Source organism: Homo sapiens, chromosome 7 (assembly GCF_000001405.40).
Source record: "Homo sapiens chromosome 7, GRCh38.p14 Primary Assembly".
Taxonomy (NCBI): domain Eukaryota; kingdom Metazoa; phylum Chordata; class Mammalia; order Primates; family Hominidae; genus Homo; species Homo sapiens.
In genome coordinates this window covers 143,809,990-143,834,170 of record NC_000007.14, presented here as the reverse complement: position 1 = coordinate 143,834,170, position 24,181 = coordinate 143,809,990, and the positions used below count along the sequence as shown (strand labels likewise).

Here is a 24,181-nt window from a genome sequence, read left to right as displayed (position 1 = left end):
TCATCATAGTGATTGTTGCATTTTATTTATCTGTTTATCTACCTATTTATTCATTATCTTTCTCCTTCTAAAATATTCAAATCACGAAAAGGGAAACCTTATCTGTTTTGTTTCTTGCTGTACTCCCAGTGCTAGAACAGTGCTTGGCCCACAATGGGGAATCCAGTAAAATTTGGAGGTGAATGCATTTAGTTGTTTGCTTTTTTCACCTGTTCCTTCATCTGTTCTGACCAGCAGTGCTTATCAGTATCTCTTAAATACATGAAAGTCTTTGCTTCCCCCTGCAGCAGCTGATAGAACCATGGCGACCATTGCTGCTGCTGCGTTTGAGGCCCTCATGGATGGAGTGACATGCTGGGATGTCCCCAGAGGCCCCATCCCCAGTGAACTCCTTCTTATTGGAGAAGCCGCCTTCCCCGTGATGGTGAATGACAAGGGCCAGGTGCTCATTGCTGCCTCCTCCTACGGCCGAGGCCGCCTCGTGGTTGTGTCCCATGAGGGCTACCTGTCGCATGCTGGCTTGGCTCCGTTTCTCCTCAATGCAGTGAGCTGGCTCTGTCCCTGTCCTGGGGCTCCCGTGGGAGTGCATCCATCCCTGGCACCTCTAGTAAACATCCTACAGGATGCTGGGCTTGAGGCACAGGTCAAGCCAGAACCAGGAGAGCCCCTAGGGGTTTACTGTATCAATGCCTACAATGACACCTTGACTGCAACGCTGATCCAGTTTGTGAAACATGGAGGGGGCTTGTTAATCGGGGGCCAGGCCTGGTACTGGGCCAGCCAGCACGGCCCTGACAAGGTGCTCTCCAGGTTCCCTGGGAACAAGGTGACAAGTGTAGCCGGAGTGTACTTCACTGACACCTATGGGGACAGAGACCGGTTCAAGGTCTCTAAGAAGGTGCCCAAGATCCCACTCCATGTCAGGTGAGTGTTTGTTCCCCTCTTAGGGAGTCTGACTCAGGATAAACAATAGAGTTGGTTCCCCTCTTCAACAAGCTTCCATTGCAATACAGGTGATTTTCCACTCAGTTTGGAACCACCACAAATCAAAAGCAGGATGATTAAAATGCACCAAGACACAAGAGAGGCTGGGCCCTCACTGCCACTCCCTCCTGTGGCCAAAGCTGAATAGAAAAGCTTGTCTTACCACTTTATCTCCATGTCTAGTAAATAGAACCTAGAGAGTGCTCATCAGTACCTCTTAAATGCATGAAAGAATATTTGTTTGTTTGCGTGAGCACCGATTGTTGATCATGCTGCATTCTGGACAATGGGGGTCTAGCAGAGATCGAGGCAGGCAAGTCATGCCATCATGAGGTTTGTATTCCAGGGGAGAGATAGGTATTAAGGAAACTAATATATATGTGCTCTATCAGGTATTGCTAAGATCCATGAAAGATGATAATATAAGTGGATAGCATGACAACAGGAAGGCTGATGGAGGCTATTTTATTTAAGACGTTCAGGGAAGTCCTATCAGTCAGACCAAGTTGGATTGGTCAGGATTTGTTGGCGTTGCTAGCAGAAGGGATTTAGTATGGGGAATTGACTATACCCATGATAGAGGAGCTGAAAATACACACAGGGGACAGCAAGTAACCCAGAGATCAGCAACAGCAGAACCAGCAGAGGGAGATGGTGGTATTACTGAAGTCCAGGTGCTGCGGCCACCTGGTAGAAGCTGGAGCCATGCTATGCCTTCCCAGCAGGAGCTGGAACCACAGATGAAAGGTCTGTCTGCTAGAAGCTGGAGTCTCAGAGAAGACACTGTGGTTACCAGAAATACAGCCTGAAGAGAGAAGCAAACACTTAAACTCCTTCCTTCTTCCTTCCTGATTTCAGTCTTCTACCTCTCTCTCCCATGGGCTGAACCCACCAGGATCCAGGGAACAGGAGAACCAAAGAAATGCAGTTTTCTGCAACACGGAGGATGACCAAGATGAAAGGGGAATAGAGATGAGTGCAAACAAGCTCATGGCCGGCTTGGAAGGCTGGTCTGGTAGGTAGCACTTGAAAGGAGACCTCAAGGAAGTGAGGGAATGAGCCATGTGGGCATCTGTGAGAGGAAGATTCCAGGCAGAGTGAGGAGTGAGGGTGAGAAAACCTGGAAGGGAAGCCTGCTTAGTATGTTCCAAGGGAAAGGGAGTGGCCCTTCTATAAGGTCGGAAGGCTCTGCAAAGCTCCAGGGGAGAATAGCTGAAGGCAGCTGTTCTGTGACCCTGAGGCAGAGGGCAAGGAGTAGGTACAAGGGAGTGTAGGAGAATTTGTCTTGATCAAGCCTGTTTGTTTGAAGTTGTCCAGGAGCTGACATTTGAACATCCGCACACATGATGTTCTCTGAATGAGGAACAATAAATGTTAGTCATTTACAGATTGTGTAGGCTCCAGGCTTTCGGCATTATGCCTGCAGTAAATAAAAGCAAGCAGCTTCAGCTTCTCGGGGCTGCTCTCTGGCCACTACAGCCAGGCAGTCACCTAGCTGTTCTTACACTGCATACTTGTGTCTGAGTACTCATTTCATCCATTGGCCAGGGACACACCTGGCAATCAGGGAAGCCAGAATGATGGGAACTCAGTGAATGATAGCTCAGGTCATGTAAGAACTGACAGGCCAGGAGTAGAACTTTAGACCTTATTTGCAGTGAGATGGGAAGACATTTTGTATTCTCTACAGAAGATTGCTATGATGTGACTTAAATTTCAAAAGGAACCCTCTGATTGATGGTGGAGAACAGACTGTGGGAGGCAAAGATTGAAGCAGCAGACCAATCGGGAGGCCACTGAAGTAGACCACAGGAGAGATGGTGGTGGCCCAGACAAGACTGATAGAAGCTGTGGAGCTACTGAGAACAGGTTCCATTCTGGACACACCTCAAAGGGAGAACCCAACAGGCTTGGCTGATGGAGTGAGTAAGGAAAAAGAGGAGTTGAGATTTTTGGTCTGAAAAAGACCAAAAATTAAACACAGGTGCTGCTGTTTAGTGATCTGTGAAAGGACAATGAGAAGATGGATTAGAGGAGATCAGGAGTCTCATTTTGGATGTTTTAGGTTTCAGATATTAGTGACTACTTACTTATGTTTGGCCACATGTAGCAGAAGCCTTAGTATAGCAGATTAACCATGTAGCAGTTTATTTTTTCTATGAAACATGAAGTACAGGTAGGTAGTCCAGCTCTGGGGCAGTGACTCTATGATGTCCCATGGTCAGTCTCTGTCTCCCTGTCACTGCCTGACCCTGTCATGGTGTGTTATTTTATCCTTATGGCTACAAGTTTGCCACTACTACTCCAGGCACCATAATTACACCCATGCAATAATAAATTGGAATGGATACACCTACTTTTAGTTTATAAAACCATGTATTTCCTGGAAGCCCTAGACTTCTATTTATATTTTAACGGCCAGCCTAGTTAAATCAGTAGTCCCTAGCCTTTTGGTACCAGGACCTGTTTTGTAGAAGACAATTTTTCCATGGACCTGGCAGGAGTTTCAAGATAATTCAAGTGCATTACATTTATTATGCACTTTATTTCTATCATTAGTACATTTTAATATATAATGAAATAATTATACAACCCACCATAATGTAGAATCAGTGGGAGGCCTGACTTCCAGACCTAACTACCAGGAGATCTGAAGGGCTGGCTATTTTTAAATGGGCACTGGCGTCTCTGAAGAAATCAAGATGCTGTACAAAGAAGAAGGGGCATACAGATACTAGTGAGCAGCTGGCAGTGCCCTGAACCCTCAGCCCCAAGCTCTGGACCTCTTTGAATTCCTTCCCTTCTGAGAGATTTGGGGAGGGGATGGGTTTACTCAGAGACATTGGAGTGGATCTGATTCGCTTCAACTTTTTTATTCTAATGCGAAGGGACAAGCAGGTGAAATCTCATCACTATAATGCCTCTTAATTGCCCCAAGGGATTCTCCTCTCTAGCTAACTCAACCTGTTTTTCTTCATCTATATCTACATTTTTAATCCCTGCCACCGATTCTAAGGTATATTTTGTGTGTTTGTTATTTTAATTCTTAATTACTGAAAATATTAAACATATGCAAAAGTAGACAGAATAGTACAATGAACCCCCATGTAGCCATTCCCCAGTCCCCAAAATAGTCAACTCCAGGTCTGTCCTATTTCACCTGTAGCCCCACTCTTCCCCACCCAAGATTATTTTGAAGCAAACAGCAGACATCATGTCTTTTCATCTGTAAGTATTTAAATATATATCTCTAAAGGTATGAAGTCTTTTAAAAACATAACTGCAAGTCATCATTATCACACCTAAAAGAATAATTCCTTAGTGTCATCATTTATTTCCATGATTGTCTTATTTTTCAAAATGTGTTAACATTGGGCCAGGCATGGTGGGTCATGCCTGTAATCCCAGTCCTTTTTGGGAGGCCAAGGCAGGTGGATCACTTGAGGTCAGGAGTTTGAGACCAGACTGGCCAACGTGGCAACACTCTACTAAAAATAAAAAAATTGGCCGGGTGTGGTGGTACGCACCAGCAGTCCTAGCTTTTTGGGAGGCTGAGGTAGGAGAATCACATGAACCCGGGAGGTGGAGGTTGCAGTGAGCCGAGACCATGCCATTGCACACCAACCTGGGCAACAGACTGAGACTCTGTCTCAAAAAAAAAAAAAAAAAAAAGTGTTAACATTGAAATTTAAATAAAACCCAAATATTTTGATTTCTTGATACAAATTTTATATCTCTTTTAAGATACGCGTTTCCTTTCCAACTTTCTATTTCTTGCAGTTTTGTTGCTGTTGTTGAAGACACCAGCTACTCTTTGTTGAACAGTTTACTTCAGTCTGGACTTTGAAAGTAGACCTCAAGGAAGTCAGGGAATGAGCCATGTGTGCATCTGTGGGAGGAGGATTCCAGGCACAGTGAAGCGCAATGGTGAAAACCTGGAAAGGCAAATTGATTGCCTTCCTGTGGTATCATTTAATATGGGGGTACCAGTCCATGGCCTGTTAGGAACCAGAACACACAGCAGGATGTGAGCAGCGGGTGAGCAAATAAAGCTTCATCTGTATTTACAGCCACTCCCCATCACTTGCGTTACCACCTAAGCTCTGCCTCCTGTTAGATCAGTGGCAGCATTAGAGTCTCATAGGGGCACGAACCCTATTGCAAACTGCTCATGCAAAGGGTCTAGGTAGTGTGCTCCTTATGAGAATCTAATGCCTGATGATCTGTCACTGTCTCCCATCACCTTCAGGTGGGGCTATCTAGTTGCAGGAAAGCAAGCTCAGGGCTCCCACTGATTCTACATTATGGTGGGTTGTATAATTAGTTCATTATATGTTACAATGTACTAATAATAGAAATAAAGTGTGCCATAAATGTAATGCACTTGAATTATCCTGAAACCCCTGCCAGGTCCATGGAAAAATTGTCTTCTATAAACAGGTCCCTGGTACCAAAAGGTTAGGGACCACTGATTTAACATATTCATCTTTTGCTTGTATTTTCTGTATAATACAAATTAAAAGTTAGATCTCGATTTTAGGTCAGGATTGACAAACTGAGGCCAGCCCCTGTTTTTGTGAATGAAGTTTTGTTGGAGCACAGCCATGCCCATTCATTCACAAACTGTGGCTGCTTTCAAGCTACAGTGTCTGCCATTGTTGAATAGTTTCAGCAGAGACCATATGGCCCATATTTGTCTAAAATATTTGTCGGACCTTTTAAGGAAAACTTTCTCAGCTCCTGATCTAGAGGTTTGATCAGATTCATGTTTGAATTTTTGACCTATTTTATAGGTGGTAGTATGCACTTCTACTGGGTAGAGCACAATGGTCTGATTTTCTCTCTTACTGTGAGGTTGGCAGTCCTTAATAACCGTTGCTTAGCCCTAGACCCATTAATTTGTGTTTATAAAATGATGGCTTTAAAATTTTAATATTCCTTTTATTTGTTATTTGGAATAGTTTTATAAAACACACTTTCCTTCACCAATTACATACTCTATGGTATAATTTATATAGAAAAGGCAAAATAAATATTTAATTCTCTCTTTCTCATTTTAAAACCAGTTTCCAATATTGAGTTGTTTCCCTAGCATCTTCCAGAGGTCACCAATGTGTTTAAATTTTTCTTAGAATTATTATGAAATCATGATTGGAAACACAATGTGTTTCATTTATTATCCTTATTGATGTTGAAATTGTCCTGTTTGGCCATTGGGAGCCAATTCAAGATGATTCCTGAATCTTTTCCACCCAACCTTAATGGGCTTCCTGGTTTTTTAATATAACAGGAGGTTTCAATTTCATCTCATGTATTTCCTGCTCAGGCCCAGAACTGCCATTTCTCCAAAAAGCCCTATTTTTTTCTTCCTTCTTTTTTTAACGTACAGCCCATATTTCTGGGAGTCCTAATTTGCATTTAGAAACTCCAGTCCGGGTGTTAGAGTTGTGCATTGTTTGATCTTTGTTTCTAGGCCTTCTAAATAGGCACAGCTAAGAAATAGATATTTTTGGTTTATATTTTGATACTTCGGATCAGATTTGGGGCTACAGGGTTTTAATTTGATTTCAACAATCTTACCTCTGTATCTCCTATCTCTCATGATGAAAAATTCCGGTTCTATAAGACACCAATGTAACGACTCATTTGCTCTATCCCAAGATATACAAACAACAGTTGCAAAATATGAATAATAGCACTACTACCAGCAATATGATGATTATTGTAACAAAGATTACTTGCAGTTCTTTTTGTCCCAATGATATATTTTATTATATACATATATAAAGTCAAAATACTATCTTTAAAGTCACTTCCAATACTTCCGCTCTTTGTGGTTATACCGCTAAACAGATGTACATGTCAATTCATTGGTTATTTTATTTTTTAGTTTTGGAATTGCTTGTGTAATTTAATTTTGTTTAAAATTATGTAAAATAGTAATCTGGGTCCAAAGTAAGATCTTAAGAAACCTATATTCTGTCCCTGTTTCCTTCAAACAATTCCCTTCTTCCTTCTGTGCATTTTTTGTGGTTTAATTCTCCACAAACACACACATATTAGTAGTCTTCTCTTCACTGGATAAGGCAATAACATACTCTATACATTTTTTCCTCCTTACTTTTTTTCACTTAACATTATTTCCTGGATATGGCCTGATAGTAATGTATAGAGATACACTGTATACTCTATTATACCATGGTGTATGGATATGATATTGTTTATTCAATAAGTCCCTTATTGACAGGCACTTGAGTTTCCAGTATGTGTTATTTTTCTGGTACTTCTACTGTTACACATGTGCTGCAATGAATACCTTTGTGCACGTATCCTTATATTTCGCGCTATCACTGGAAATGGGATTTCTGAGTCATGGGGGAAATTCATATGTAATTTCGCTAGGCACTGCTAAGTCCCCCTTGTTGCAGCTTGGGTTACTGGGAATCTGACTCAGAGATAGAGATACATGTGTGGGAGGTTTGTGAGGGCATGCTCCCAGGATCAGCATCTGTGGAAAGGTGAAGGAAGAAGCACTGGAGACAGGGAGAAGCCGGGCTATGAGGCAAATATTTTTTAGCAATATTTTCACTGTTAAGTGGAACACTGGAAGAAACGTGTCTGTAATAGAAGATTGCTTAAATAAGGTATAGCATATCCTAGAGTGATTGAGTGAGTAATTTTGCAATCATTAAAAATTCTATGTTCAAAGACTTCTTAAAGGAAATGAAAAATATTCATGATAAAATAGACAAAATTAAGATATAAAGCTCTGCATTAAAATGATGCTAAATTCATTAAAACAATATATGTATAGCCAGGAAAATAAAACATTAGAAGAAAATATAATAAAATATTAGTAATGTGTCTCTGGGGCTAAGTTGGTAATTGGTTTCATCTTCAAATATTTTTGTCCTTTCCGAATACTCTATAATTATAAATTGACAAAAAAGACATTTTTAATATTACCTCTTTGCCTTTTCAGAACCCTTAAAAAATAAAAAACCTCTCCCCAGATCACATTAAGATATCTTTCTTTGACCTGATATCATTTATAGTTTTCATTGATTCACCAACAAAAAGGAGAAAGGAACAAATTTTCTTAACATATCAGTTTTTTTCCCTCTTTCTAGTATCTTGTATCCATGTTTTAATTTATCTAAAATATGTGAGTGCCTGTTCTAGACACTATTCTAGGCACTGGAATTCCCACAGCGTTTAAGTCCATATTTTAGGACTAAGAGAAGCGTAGTGAAAGTTCAGCTAATACTGTATAAAAATAAATTCCCACATTGTTAGTTTTGATTAATTAAAACATTTATTGAAAAAACAATGACACTAAAGTATTTGAATATTTGTAATTTCTGTAATGTCCTCAACCAAAATGTTTATGCTTACATATCTTCTATCTTTGCATATCTTTACAAATCAATACATCATTTTTGCTAGCTATGATTACATGCTGCTATTTTGTATTCTCCTTAAAAATATTTTCCCATTTTTATATATGATATTTTTAATGATAATTTTTAATCATAAGTTCTGTAATTTGTTTTAACTATTTCCTCTTTGTTGCATACTCAGATATTTTCTAGTTGAGTATCGGGGGGTTGGCGATAACATATATTATCCATACACATCTTTAAAGTATTTTAGAACTGTCCCTCAATGTAAAGACCACAACATGTAACATTAGATTTCTTGTTTTATAAAATATCAAGATATTTGTTCCTATTCTGCACTTTCTTTCAGCTCTTGAAAATCCAATTTATTCTTCTTAATTAGTTTCAACTCAAACACCCTCCTCAGAGCAGTCTTCCCCAGTGGCCATACTGAAATTTGGACTGTCCATCCAGTTTCACTTCATCACATTTCTCCATTTATTCCTTAAACATTATCACTCTCTATAACTATCTCCACTGTTTCTTGCTAGGGCCTGTCTAACCAACCAGAATATAGAGCTCCATGATCTTGCCTGTTGCGTTTACTGCTTTATTCTCAGTGCCTGGAGTACTTAACATTAGAGATCAACAAATATTTGTAAACTATATAAATTAATGAAAAAATATGAATGAATACACATCCAAAACCATAACAAGAGAAAAGACAGCCTCATATACTACTGTTAATCCTGCAGACAACTTCCTACTATGGAATATAGGGCTGGGGGTTGCGCCAGAGCCTTCCAGCCTCAGCCAACAATAGAGCCAGAGGGAACCAACTCCTTGAGAGTCTCAGAAGGTCAGAGTCTGAGTCTCTGGCTCAGATTCCTCCCGCCTTCAGAGCAAGTCCCATTAGAGGTTTTCAGTGAACATTCCTGCCACAAATATTGGTCAAAGGCGCTTGGACTGACCCAGCAGGTTCCTTAACTTTAAATCTCGGCTGGAAGGCCCTGGAGCTTCTTAAGAGAATTGATTGCTGGCCTGCCCCAACTCTGCCTGCCAAGGAGTGGGGCAGTCTCTAAACACCAACAAAAGCTCCTCTCACATCCTATCCCCAAGGGCACACCTATGTTTATATAACAGGAGTATACTGCAGTTGCTTTAATATTTAAAAGCAAATCCAAAGGCACTTGCTACCTTTATACCATGACAGAAGAGTCTGGAAGAAAAGTTAACCTCAGATACTAAGCAGCCACCCATTACACTTACACACGGTATAATCTACAAGCTCTAAAATATGTTAGCAGCTGCCCATATAAAAGTAAATATGTAACTGGGCATGCTGATGCACAGGTACTCACATACTCGAGAGGCTGAGGTAGGAGGCTCTCTTGAGGCTGGGAATCCAAGGCTGCAGTGTTCTGTAATTGCACCTGCAAATACGCATTGCACTCCAGCCTGAGCAACATAGTGAGAACCTGTCACTATTTGGTAAGTAAAAATTGTAAATATGTACTAGTGGCTTAGGTTTATGACTGTCTTGAGAATTATTTATTTTCTGTGTCCTCAACACAGTCCTGTAGAGTAGGAAAGTCTTTGTCCAAGGAGTTCCAAGTTACAAGCACCACATACCTTTGTGTATGTATCATTATATTTTGCCATATCACTGGAAATGGGATTTCTGAGTCACGGAGGAAATTCATACGTAATTTTGCTAGGCGCTGCTAAATTCCACTTGTTTCAGCTTGGGTTCCTGGGAATCTGACTCAGAGACAGAGATAATTGTGTGGAAGGTTTATGAGGTTTATATTCAAGATCCATGAATGTAGTTTCCAGGTAAAAGCTGAAATGAGACTAGATCCCAGAATTGCTCTCTCCACCAAATCTGACAAAATGAATGAAAAATAATTAATAAATGGCTGGATGTGGAAGGTTTTTATGATGATGACATACATTGCTATGCACTGGCCAAGGAGAACAGGTGATTGATGGGTGGCCCAGGATGGAGTATCTCCTAACACCAGTCAACCTTCCATGTACAATGGAAAGAAAATATTCAAAATCACAAATTCAATAGTTATCATTAATGCTTTCTAATACATAGAAAAGTGAACAAATTGGGTGGATAGACAAGAAAAAAAGCTTTCAAGTGTAAACTCCCCATGTGAGTTCCATCTGTGGTTTGGTGGAAGTGGGCCTAGCTTATTAGGTCCCCTAAGACGGAGAAACCAGGCCTAATCAAAAATCAAAAATCTGAAATTCTCCAAAATTCAAAACTTTTTGAGCACCACCAACATAATGCCAGAAGTGGAAAATCCCACTTTGGGGACACCTTTGCTTTCTGATGGTTCAATGTACACAAACTTTTTTCATGCACAAACTTATTTAAAATATTGTATAAATTACCTTTAGGCTCTGTGTAAAGGTGTATAGGAAACATAAATGAATTTTGTGTTTAGAGTTGGGTCCCAACACCAAGGTATCTCCTTATGTGTATGCAAATATTCCATAACCTGAAAAAAATCAAAATCTGAAACACTATTGGTTGGTCCCAAGCATTTTCCATAAGGGCTGCTCAACCTGTATTATCTCCTTCAATTCTAACAATAATCTTCCAATAATATCAGAAATATAGTTTATTAAGCCAGGAGAAAGAGTAAACATTATGACATTGTTAGGAATGTTTGTGTGTTTAAGCAGGATTTTGGTCTGACATAGAAATATGAATATATCTGTGCTCACAGGTGAGTAGCATCTGTATTCTGACTATTCCAAATGAGTAATTTTTGTACCTGCAATTTGTTACAAAAGTGAGTTTTCCAAATTATTTTCTTAAATCTGACAGGTTAAATAGTTTAAATAAAATTGTGTGTCTAATAGGCATGATTGAGATCTAAAGAGATTTTACCCTGTATTTACCAGCTTAAAATAAAAGAAAAAAAATACATTTACAATTTTAAGGCACCTCTCTGATTATCAATGCCCATATTGTTCAGTGATGATGGAGACAGTTTTTAAAGTTTTCTTATTTACTATGATTTATCTGTATTTAAGAAATTAAAAATACAAAAAAAAAAAAGATACTCAAGTGTTGGGGGCTGCAGGTCTTCAAAATGTTTTTTACAGCATCTGATCAACATAGTTCTCTCTAGTCCTTTTTTTGATGTTATAGATCCTAAGAAAACATCGTTTCTAGATTCTAGTATTTCTGTCCTGTTTATATTTATCAGAGAGTGAAATAAATCCAGAAGAGTATTTTTACATTCTATACAATCTCAACAGAAAAACAAAACAAGCTAAGTGAAGATGTATTTGATTACTACCAGTAGACTTCATTACTTTTATTTTCAAGAAAAAATATATAAATTGTTAGATGTTTTACCTTCAATATGGTGAAAATGACAGCAGCGCACTTCACACTTACCTTTTTATTTAGTGCTGTACCTTCCTAATTTGGCAGTTTTTTAATTGGCATTCAGAAACCTATCGCCCATGTTACCTGTCTGCTCAGATGTGGTTTGCGAACATTTCCTAACCATACCATCCCATCCCTTTCCTTTAGTCCTCAGTGGCTTCCCCTGCACTTCCAGCTCTGAAGTAACACATGCTTTTCCTTTCTTAAACACAGTATTGTTCGCACCTTTGCATCCTGTAAAGCTTCCTTTGCACAAGATATACCTGTCGAAAACCATGTACCCAGATGTAGGTTCCGTCAAAGACTCAGTAATTGAGTGAGAGAGTTCTGGTGTGTAGACAACGGTGGCTTTGGAAGCAAGCCAGCCTGGGTTTAGTAAAAATTAAAGAAATAGGAAAGAAATACAAAAGGTGGCTTGACAGTCACAGACAGGTTTAATTTAGAGAAAATAAACATGGGAGGGGCATCTGGCCGAGTTAGGTCAGAGGCATACTCCCTTACAGACTAAGAGTTTTTAAGGATTCAAGGTGGGAGAGTTTATCAGAGGCCTCGACTGCTTCTGTGTCTCTTTGTTGTGCTTATCTGAGAGGGAGAGTTGTATCTCTGTTCCCATATATCCTTCTGCAGCTGCAGGCATACCCCACTTTTAGCTTCCTATCTTTTAACTTCCCTAACTTAGTGCACCCAAAGGGAAAGGAATGTTCTTATTAAGGCCCACTGTTTAACTGGGGCCCATTGTATGAGGATGAAGTTTGGCAGTTACCCAAGAGACTTTGCTCCCTCCTCCCTCTGTGCCCGAGCTGTCTCATCTGTGTTTTACCGTTCTGCTCTTTCCGGCTGCTTGTAGTTAGAAGAGAAGTGATTTCCTGGAAATGCATGGGGCTAGAAAGGGAGCTGAAACATAAATTAGCGGTGTTTATCCAAGATGACGATGCTCCTGCTTTGTCAGGTTTGCTTCCTGTCCCTGCCAGTTATTAGCTAGGAAACGTGGGGAAAATTGCTTAGCTTTTCCAAACTCCATCTTTAAAGTGAGAATAGTAACTTTCAGGTTTATTATAATGATTGAAAGAGATAATACATATGTTAAATACCTAACATATATTAAACCTTATTAAAGAGCAGCTACTTTCATTGTTTTCCACACTTAAACATTGTAAACAGATATTATACAAGATTTAAATATTGGTAACTAGCTGTCTGAGATCATTAATATTGCCCTTAGGATATTGTCAAATCAGCTGTTGAAATTTACCTGATATACTAACTGCTATGCTTACTCACTTTTCCCTCCCTCCCTCCCTGCTTCCCCCTCCCTTCCCCCTCCCTCCCTCTGTCATCCCCTTCCTTCCTTCTTTCCTCCTTTCCTTTCTTTCTTTAGTTTTCTTTTAAGAAATGCCTTTTTATGAAAATATTTCAAAAGGAATTCAAGTTTATTTTGAAAAAATGCACACCAATACAGAAATATAGAGAGGAAAATGGCAACTCATCCTCCTCACCACACCACCAGCTCCAGTCTCATGCCTCTGGACCAAGGTAGCCAATCCTAAAAGTTTGACATGGATCATCTCAGATGCTTATCTATGTGTGTGTGTGTGCTCTGCACATTGATTTTTTAGTTAATGTATCATGTTGGAGAATGTCTGCCTTTTTACTTCATATTTTTGCAACAAGTTAGCAGAACACAACCTTCTAGGGTCTCAATGTCTTGTCTTCAGGATGCAGGACAATTGTCTTCTGGCTGTAAGTAAGCTTGTAAGTCATTCTGATCAAATCATCTCCATCCTTTTTTTTTTTCCAATGGATGCTGTGAATACATTACCATCTCCAAATGTAATGTCAATTCATATTTTTATTTTCTTTGTAGCAGTTCTTGCTTTCAGTATTGTGTTTTTGCAGGGCATAAAAATTAATAAAAATTTTATTTTTGTTAGAGTGTAACTTTAATCCATAGAAAATGTTCATTTTTAATTTTTCCTCTTTGAAATCACTTGCATCCCTTATTAATGCTGATATGTCTGCTTTTGTGTTTTTGTATTTTTTAAAATAAAACTTTGTTGATTTTGTCATTTTCAATGCTTTTATGTTTAGTTTCAGGTGTGTCTTTTATAAGCAGCTTATATCCAGATGTTTTTAACCCAATCTGACAGCTTCTGTGAGATGGAAATTCAATGCATTCATATATACTGTGATGATTCAAATGTATTTCTTGCTCTTACCCCCTTTTAATTTTATTTTCTATTTTTATGCTTTATTTCTTTTTACATTTTTCCTTGGTTGCTACTAAGCTTTATCCATTTCTTAAATTTCCTCAACACATTTGTAGATTATACATTTTACTTCTATTTTTGGAGCAGTTATCTTAAATTTTAAATTTAATGTTTGATTACCTGAGAAATATAATTGTACATTCTCCTTATTTGAAGAAACAAATTATTGAGGCAAAAGCCCTTTTCATCATCTCCTTCAATGTCAGTCCTTTCTCTCTATCTCACAATCCAAAAGAAAACACTCTTATCAGTTTATTGTGGTTGTTCCCTGACATTTTGGACACATATTGACGTATGTTTACTTTGCTTTATATTGTGTCTTCCATAAGTTGCATCACCAAGTTCTGCTATTTTTGAAATTGTTTTACTCAACAAATATGTTTTGAACATCTTTCCTTGTTAATTAACATAGGTGGACCTATTCTTATTGACTGATAAATAGTAATCCATCATATGATTAAATGCCAATTTTTATTTGCATTCATATTAGTAAACATTTAACTTCTTCATATTTTTTCACTATTACCAACAATTTGCAATGAACTTCCTAGTACTGCCTCCATTTATACTACTATAGGCTGTTTCTCTTTTTAATGTTATTGGATACTGCCAAAATGATCTCCAGTTTTTATGAAAGATTAGTTTTCTCCACACTCTTGCCAACACTTAATATTGTCAGCTTTTGAAACATTTACTAATTTTCTGGGTAAAATATGTTATTATATATAATTTGCATTTGTGTGATTATATCTTTTCAAACGCTGAATATCTCACTTGGATTTCATCTTTCATGAACTGTTTGAAAATATACTTTAAAAATATTTTCTGTTTTTTGCTTTTCTGTTTATCCTTAGAAATTACTCATATATTCTGAATTCTAATTTTGTATCTGTTCAGTCTGTTACAAATATTTGTCTCTCAGTGACCTCACCTTCTTTAACTTTATTTATGCTGCCTTTATGCTAAGAAGTTGTTGGTTTTTTTCTTTAATTCTATGTGGTTCTTGCAGCTTTTGTCAACCATTCTAGTCACTTCCTAGATTCCCAATGCTACTGTAGTTTGTGTGTGTGGGCATGTGGATGAATATATGCAGTCATTTTAATTAGCTGTGGAGAGGATATCTGCAAGTAACTGCAGCTTTCCATATTGAAGTTTTACTACCATTAGCTGAGGCTTTGCCAGGTGCCTGTGAGAAGATGCTAAGAACACTTCGAGTGGAATTTTTCATTATTAAGTCTTGTAGCTCAATGTCATTAACTCCCCAAAATATCTTGAGTTCCAACAGGTAACAAAAAGCCACAGGCAGAACTGATACCTGAACTCTATGACATTTGCCATGTGAGTCTGAAAATGGGATGACAAAACTAAGACATGCCATCTCCTCATTTTCATGCTGAAAAGAAATTAAAGAGAATCTGCACAAGAGTTACATTTTTCAATAATGTTTTACTACTGGAATAAATAAACTATACTTTTTAAAAAATATAACATTTAATTTTTAATTATAAGAGAAATAGATGTTAATTTTAAAATTCGAGAGAATAAAGTTTTATAAAGATAATTAAAATGACCTAAAATCCCACCAGCCAAGACGACCACTGAAGACATTTTTTTTAAACAAAGATATTTTGATAAATATGCTTTAGGTTCTGCTTCTATGTCTGGTTTCTTGGTTTTTTATTTTTTTTACCCCAAAATTTGGCTTATTTAGTGTTTGGGGCTCTCTCCACTATTCCAGCGTGTCTCGCTTGCTATTTGAAAACTTGTTAAAGCATAATAAATTAGAAGCCTTATTCAGGGATGGCAGGGATGAGAAAGGGATATCAGGTTGTTATGGGAACCCGTGGTCTTTAGAGCTATTGGTCAAAAATAGAAGCCTCAGGATGGCAGGATGAAAGATCCTCTCTGGAAGACTAAGAGGTGAAGTGAGTCTCTTGGGGAAAGCAATAGCGTAGGCAGAAAAACAATAAAAAGAAGCACAAGGCACCTTTTACAGAAAGGGGTTCCATTTTTTCTTATGACCGTGGCCACCATCTAGTGGTCAGGCTTGGAAGCGGGATTCAGGCTCCAGATACTGAGCACACGGCCAAAGCCCCATGGTGGAGTTGATGGCGTGACCCTGCCTTTTCTCTCCCGCCTTGTGGGGCATCCTTTACTTCCTGGCACGGAGGTACACTTGCATGGGGTTTTCCTGCCACTCTGGTAGGGAGGCCAGGCTGTCAGCCACCTCCTTCTGGATAGGCCAGCCCCAGGCCTCAAAGAAGGGAACCAGATTCTTCTTCACTTTTTCAGAGAACTTCTTCACCCATAGATTCATCCTGCCAGTGTTGTCTTTGGGGAGGTGAGAGAGGGTCTGGTACTCAGCAAAGAGCTGGGTGAATGGCTCCCACCCGAAGGCCTGTTGGAGCTGAAAAGGGAAAGAAGGAACAGAATGAGGTGTCAAGTTTGCAAAAGTGACGTGACATGTGCGTTCTTAAATATATTTCATTCACATGATCACCTCCCCTCAATCGTTACCTTCATCCTGGGTATGTGCCCCTATCTCCCCACTCTGCCCCTGCACAATAATGCAATCTTGTTGGCTCATTCCTCCTCTTGGCCACAAAACAACACCCCCTGAATCTAGTGGGGGTGCTCAGGGGAAACCTAATGTCTGAATAGAGGTAAATACTCAATAAATGTCCACTATTAGTATCTTTAAACAATTGTCTTCCCAGATCTCAAGTGTTTTCCTCAGCATCAGGACAGGTTTGGGCCTGACTGAGATGAGAAACCCTCACTTCCTACATATCTGGCCTATTGAGATTCTAAAAGCTGCGAACCTCCAATACTATACTTTCCAGACATCATAATAATCCTTATTTTTTAATAGCCATCTTGGACCTGTGGCTATCTGCAATGATACAAAATTGCTCTGTAGAACACTGCATTTAGGGCAGAAAAAGAAAAAAATCCAGCCTGTCTCGAGGGGCTAAAAATGAGAGTGGCTCATACTTCATAAGGGGCAGCTAATGAGAGTGGCTCATACTTCATAAGGGGCAGCTCTCCGGAAAGCCCTTGGCAGAAGGCCCTTGTTTACTAAGATTATACAAATTTCCAGTTAGCGGGGATCTGGGGTTTCACATCCCCACTCTCCCTTTAATAGATGAGCATTCTCTGACTGTAGCTCATAAAAGCCCAAGGACAGATAACACCACCGAAGCCAAGCCTACCTCAGAGTCTCACTGTTGTATCCTTATTATTGCTCATCTGTTCTCACTGGCTTGCTCTTTGACACTTATTAATCAATACATCAATAAATTAAGCATTTATTAAACATTTAACATGTATTAGACACCCACACACCGCCAGCTACTGTGCTAGGCAAACATCATTAAGAGCTCTTGTCCTTCTAGAGAACACTGGCCAAAGGGAGAAACACACGTAAATAAACACATTGCTAAAACTGTTGGTTTATCAAGGAGGCGATGTCCAGGAGAGAAAGGGCCAACAGAGCTGAATTTGGACAGGTGACTTGACAGCTAATGGACAAGATGTTCCAGCATGATTCAGCAGCAGGAAGCAAACAAGGGGAGGCACAGAAGCCAAAACAGCAAGCTGTGTCCGTAACCATAAGCAGGTTGGCATGCCGAAGGGTAAATGTGGAGGTGAGAGCAGTAGGAGATGTAGCTAGAGGTGCTGGTGAGGCTGGTCATGAAGGGCCTCCTATGCCCTGCTAATGAGCTTTGATTTTACCCTATATGTGCTAGAGAACACTGTAAGCATTTGATAGACAGAGTATTAACATTATTTTGGAAGGAGTGTAAGGAAGATGGATCATAGAGGATTGAGGCAAGATGCTGGGACAACTTAGAAGGCTACTGGAATACACTGAGGGAAGACTAACGAGGCCTGAGCTAAGGCAGCAGTGGCACGGATGCTGGGGAGAAGCCCTCTAGCAGGAAGAGGAGTCAGAAGGTGCCTGTTTATCCTGAGGCCAAGTCTCAGACTTGGTCTCTCTAGAGCTATTGAGAACTGATATTCGGGGCTCCACAGTGAGTAGGTAGCAGACTAGGACAGAATTAGGGCTTAAACTTACAGTTTAGGGGCAACCTACCATTGTGGTCAGTGGTCCTGTATACCCCCAGACTGGCTATCTAAGGATATGGAAATGAATGCAATACAAAGTTACCTCATTGACTGGGACTGTCTCACATTCACTCTTCAGAAAATTAGTGAAAGGCACAAAAAACTAAGAGAGGGTATGGCAATGCGAAAGCCTGGGGCTTGTCATTACGTCCTGATTTTAAGTTCTAGGTCCTTCACTTAAATGGGGGCTACTGGAAAGATTGCTTAAATTCTTTAAAATAGTGTGTGCCTCTGTGAAAAGTGGGCCAGACAGCTCCTATCCATAGAGCTGTGGGAGACATTGCAGGAGATCTGAAAGGGGAACAACATTGACAACTTGAAAACATCGACATTCAATGCAGGGCTAGGGGAGGGGGCAGGGATTTGTGTTTATTTCACAGGAAGTAGACTTGCTTTATGAATTCAGTGTTCTACTATTGGGTTGACTGGCTCTTCATTTTAAATCATTTTGGCTTCAAGTGGGGTGATGGATGATGAGACCCTTGTTAGCAGATTTGTCTCCAACAATGCCTTCTTATTGTAATGCAGCTGCATTGCAGACACCCTCCGTTATTATAAAAAAGCATAACTCATTTGACTCATAAAACTCAGGTGAAATAAAACAAAACTAAACAAAGCAATGACCATTTATGGAACACTTATTAGGAGACCAAGAACAAAACCAATGAGGGCAAGAGCTGTGATTCAGCTGCAGGAATGTCTAACAGAGTTTCTGCCCTTGAATAATATGCTATATTTCTATTTTTTTCATAATATTTTTCATTTCCTCTTACATTGCAAAATCAGAAGGTGAGTGAGACAGGTGCCATTCTCTCTGCCTTAGAGGGGTATAACCCAAGAAGCACCACCCTGCGGCCCAGTCTCTCTCATTTCCAGGGGAGGTGGAGGTCCAGGCTGGTGGAGTGGCGAAGGAGGTGGAGAGCTACTGGGATCCAGGTCGCTACATGACTGAGGGGTCTGGTCATCCCCTTCTCCCAGAATTTCTGCTCAGTACCTGTAGATATGTTTCCAGGGCTGTCCATACATTCCAGTCACACAGGGGGGCTCCCTTTCCCAGGTGGGCCTTGATTCTCCTCTCTCGCTCTGGAGGGCTCAGAGCCTCATGGGCCTGAGCCCTGGGGATCCCCAGGACTGTTTCATGCACGTAGACTGACCAAAGGTTACAGGTGGCCTCAGTAGTGTGTGGGGGGAACTCCCATCCATGCCACTGTTGGTTGTGGCCCAGCTCATGGATGGGGCCCCACACACCCCTGCTCCTCATGTCCATCTCATTGATGATCTCCTTCACAGACTCCAGGTGGCACATGATGGGGTATCCTGAATGCATCCAGCCTGGGAACACAGAAGGAAGAGATGAGCATTGAGGAGGGTCCGCCCAAACTATCTCCTTCATTCTTCTCCATTATTGGACGTTTCTTCACCATCCTGGTTATCCCCAATAATTGCAGAATCTCTGTGCTGATTGGAAAGCAAATAGCTTTCCCCTACTTGGTCAGAAACTGAATAGTACCTAATCCCCTTCTTAGTCTCTCACACCTGAGTTGTGGCCTCCTCCTCAATCTGGCCCTGGAGAATTTGGTTATACTTTACATAGTCATTCTTGCTGTAATTCGACACCTTCATTTTGTGTGTGTGAGTGTCCTTTACATGTCAGTCTGAGATATGATGTCCTCTGACTGGATCTGAGATCCTTGAGGGCTAGAACAGTGTCATTCTTTCTTCCCCATGTATACTACTTTTGTCCAAATTTACACTCTATGACAGAGATAATTTTTGTCCTTATTTGAAGGTATGAAAATTGAGGTCCAAAGAACTTTCCCCATTTGGGATCCAGAGTTCCTTATTTCTCTTCCTATGTACCTCTTTCTTTTTAACCACTCAGTACTTACCATAAACCTCCTTACGTATTTCCTCTTTTCATTTTCAACTCTGGCTTATGTTTGAAGAAAATAGTTGATTTTCTATGTTGTCCTTGAAATGACTCTGGTTGCCATCTATGAATTCCCAATACAACGTTTTCTGAGATTGTTTTACCATCCAGTGAAATCTCACCTTGTAGATGTCAATAATTTGTTTTTCACATGTAAACATTCTTTCATCCCCATCATGGTCAATGTCTTTTATATCTTTTTCCCTTGCTTTACTAATAAAATTATGCTTACACATTTTGGACATTCATAAAAGGCAAAGTAATAGATACATGGTTTCCACTGACTAGGAGGATTCCCTGGGAGCACCCACCAGCTGAGATCTGCACATCAGCCACAATCCTCTCAGGACGGCGGAAAGGGAAGGGCTCAGCCGCCAGCCTGGCCACAGCCTGCATCATCTCATCCCAGAGGCGGAGCACAGGCTCGGGGTCCTTCAGGGCCTGAAGGTTTGTGGTTGGCACTGTCAGGATGATGTTGTCCGTGGCCAGCTCTCCCCAGGGAGCCAGGTTCTCCTGCATCTGCCTCTTCCACTCCTCCAGCGATGTCTTACCTGGGAATAAATATCATGGAACCTACCACACCCACTTCTCCAACTTCCCTTGAGCTGAAAAATACCATTTGAACTCTGGAAGAACATTGCAATAATGAACTACTATCACAGGCGTCTATAGGCTGTAAAGTGAAGAAAAGGCTTCCTGACTCTTCTCTTTGTCTGCCCTGAAGTCTCCATGGACACAGGGTATTCCGTATCTTCTGCCTCCATGTTCCCTCCCAACAGTTCTTCCTCTTTCTCTCCACCAAAGCTCATCCCTCTCCCATTTAGCAACCACCCCACAGTTCCCACGGCATCTGCCACTCTTCCTCCTCCCTAAATGTTCACTCCACTTACCCAGCTTGTAGTATGGGGCAGGCACAGCTCCCCTGATAGTGACAGGCACAGGGCCTAGTTGGCTGCCCTTGGGCACGATGACGTAGAGGAGGCCGCCCCAGAGGCAGGAGACTGACCGCTCAGTCCTGTCCATCCAGCATTGGTGAGTCACCACGGGGGCTCGAGATAGCTTCCTGGCCTTGGTAAGGTCATCGGTGTGGCAGCCAATCTGTACCTGGACAGGTGATTCCACCAAGCGTTGGAGAAATTAGAGTCTTTGTGATGCTTTGTGATGTGCGTGTGAGGTTGTGTAGATGGAAGGTATTAGACAAACATGCCCATGAAACCCCAGCTTCCCTTTTCTATGTGCTAGGCATGGAAACTTATGAAATTTTAGCACTCCAAAGTCATTTGGACTTCAAGGCATTTAAAATCATTTTTCTAAGGATTTAAACAGCTCCACTATAAGTCTTCACCTGACATGAATTGGTGAGAGACCAGGCTGATCCTGGCAAAGGTCTTGTGTCTTTCTGCCAGGCAAAATCCTGGGTTCTTCTAGCAGGACCTAAGCCAGTCTGGGGACGCTGATATTGAGGATGAGCTGGGGGACTCTGCTCTGTCCTCTGTGAACACACAGGAGGCCCATCCAGAGTGAGTGAGGTTGATTCTCTCTCCCTCTTTGCCCAGAGCTTCCCTTTCTGGCCGCCAGATGGGTGGAGATCTGTTTTGTCTGGAGTCCTGGAGTTGCTTTTCTTAGGTTTGATATAAGCAAGCTCCAGAAAGAATGCTGACAGAAAAGGGACCCTAGCTGTGGTAGGAAGTGGCCCTCAGAGTCAAGGAGGCAGGATGAATTTAAATTCTGCATGTAGGGCATATTTTGGGGAGTGATGGGATTATGCACACCCTTCAGGTGTCAAGATAAAGAGATAAAACCAGAGTTTGTGCAGAATGAGCTTGCTGACACACAGCCTAAATTTGTACCGCATGTTTCATACTAACTCCCTCTGAGTTTGCACATGGGACCCATGAGGAGGCATGAAGAGGTAACTGCCCATGCCCGAGGATTTTCCAGCCCTTCCTTTTCTTTCTATCAATCACCTACTAATCACAGAATCCACTCCCTACACCTTTTCTACTAAAATAACTCTTTAAAATAAGTACAATGGGACAGATTTGAGCTGGGCTCCTGTCTCCTTGTTAATCAAATTGCAATAAAATGTTTTCTTTTGTTTTTGTTTTTGTTTTTTTTTTGGTGAAAAACTCAAGTGTCATAGTTTTGGCTTCTAGTCCATTCTGCAGTGAGCTTCTCTTGCTTGATAACACTAGGCACTTCAGTCACTCACTTAGATGCCCTGAAATTTAGCTGCTTCATCTGTAAAATCTGTAAAATGGGCAGAATAATCCATCTCTGTACTCCTGGCAGCATTGCCATGAGCTGGAACTAGACAGTGGATGAGAATGACACAGCTCTACGGTTTTGAGAGGTGGCAGATGTGGGTGTTCAGACCTTACCCTCAGGCCAGCAGAGGCAGCAGCTTCAGACAGTGAGACTTCTGCATTTTGTCCTTCCAGGAGGTAGAGCCCGGTACTCACCCAGCAATCATTGTTGCCTGACAAAAGTCACAGAGAAGGCTCAGTTCTTCCTTCCTATGTGAGTATATCTCCACTTGGGGCCTCCCAGCCCCTCCCAGTGGTACAGCTTCTCCCCTGTGTATCTCAAGTCATCCATACTTCTTAGACTCATCCCCTCTAAACCTTAAGCAGTGTCCCAATCCCCATCTTCTTGAAAGTACCTGATGAAGAATGGAGTCAGCTGGGCCCAGTGGCTCACGACTGTAATCCCAGCACTTTGGGAGGCCAAGGCAGGTGGATCACCTGAGGTCAGGAGTTCCGGACCAGCCTTACCTTTACGGTGAAACTCCCTCTCTACTAAAAATACAAAAATTAGCCAGGCATGGTGGCGTGTGCCTGTAGTCCCAGCAACACAGGAGGCTGAGAGAGGAGAATTGCTTAAACCCAGGAGGTGGAGGTTGCATGAGCTGAGATCGCGCTACTGCATTCCAACCTGGATGACAGAGTGAGACTCTGTCTCAAAAAAAAAAAAGAATGGGGTCAATCTTCCTGAGGGTAGGTACCTGCAATGTCCTGTGTAGTGTCAGCCAATCCCACTTTCCCCTACATCTTTAATGTTCTGGGCACTCTCTCCTGTTTTCATACCTGGGTTGATTCCATTGATCTCCACGGTGATGGGGTGTTTTGAGGGGTACAAACTGGAGGAGCAGGTCCAGGTGCCAAGCCCCTGGGCCAGCTGGGAGCAGTCAGTTCCAGAGTGAGCCAGCCCAGTGGCCAGGGAGAGCACCGCAGCCTCATAGGAGTCACTGGCAACTGGATTTTCCCGGCTCACAGCTGGGAGGCCAGACCCTCGTAGCATCTTCCTCAGGAGCCTGTGCAGGGATATGTAAGCAGGGACCCCCTCCGCAGGAATCTGTAGGAAGGCTGCACCATCAACTCTCAACTTTGCCAGACAGCTCTTTTCCAAGTTCCCATTCTCGTGGTTCAGTATAGCCTGGAATTGAGAGAGCGCCTTGCGGAAGTGGTAGCTTCTCATCTCAGGGGTGGGAACGGGGAAGCAGCCTGCTTTGAGAGTCTGAGGCAGGATGCTGAGGCCAAAGCAGTTGAGGATGATGTTACCAGGGAAGCCAGCCAAGGGGCAGTGGCCAGGGTTCTGGGAGGCCCACCACCAGGCCTGGCCCCCAATCAGCAGCCCCCCACCCTCAGCCACAAACTCCTGCAGCTGCTTAGCCTCCTTGTCACTGTATGCCTTGCAGCAGTAGACACACAAGTCGCTGTTCAGATGGGGCTCCAGGCTGCATTGCAGGCCATGCTCCGATAGGAGAGGACACAGATCTTTTAGATTTGTGTTCACCCCAACTTTGCCTGTCTGGCCTCTGGCCAGCCAGCGCACCGCATTGAGCAAGAAGGGCCCCATCTTGGGAGCACAGAGCAGGCACTCGTGGGCAGCCAGGACCACCCGGCCCCGGCCATAGTGAGCAGCCGCCAGGAAGCAGTTGAGTGAGGCATCCAGCCCCAGAGGGAAGGCCAGGGCTCCATGTACAAGCAGCTGTGAGGGGACTCTCCCTGTCCTGATGTCCAGCTCTGAGATCCCCTCCAGGAGCTGCTGCTGGTCCTGCCTGACATCCTCCCCATAC

The 24,181-nt window shown here is 41.7% G+C and overlaps 2 pseudogenes across 2 annotated transcripts in view; one reads left to right on the top strand and one right to left on the bottom strand.

The window, feature by feature from the left end:
- LOC154761 (family with sequence similarity 115, member C pseudogene) overlaps positions 1-22,203 on the top strand; it is a 24,750-nt pseudogene extending 2,547 nt beyond the window's left edge. The window contains 2 exon segments of the transcript NR_015421.1: positions 288-924; positions 20,392-22,203. The product of NR_015421.1 is annotated as a family with sequence similarity 115, member C pseudogene (transcript).
- On the bottom strand, positions 18,782-24,181 carry TCAF2P1 (TRPM8 channel associated factor 2 pseudogene 1; annotated as a pseudogene). The gene is made up of 5 exons (NR_110549.1): positions 23,190-24,181; positions 22,485-22,582; positions 20,994-21,207; positions 20,415-20,654; positions 18,782-19,505 (listed from the first exon to the last, which is right to left on the bottom strand). The product of NR_110549.1 is annotated as a TRPM8 channel associated factor 2 pseudogene 1 (transcript).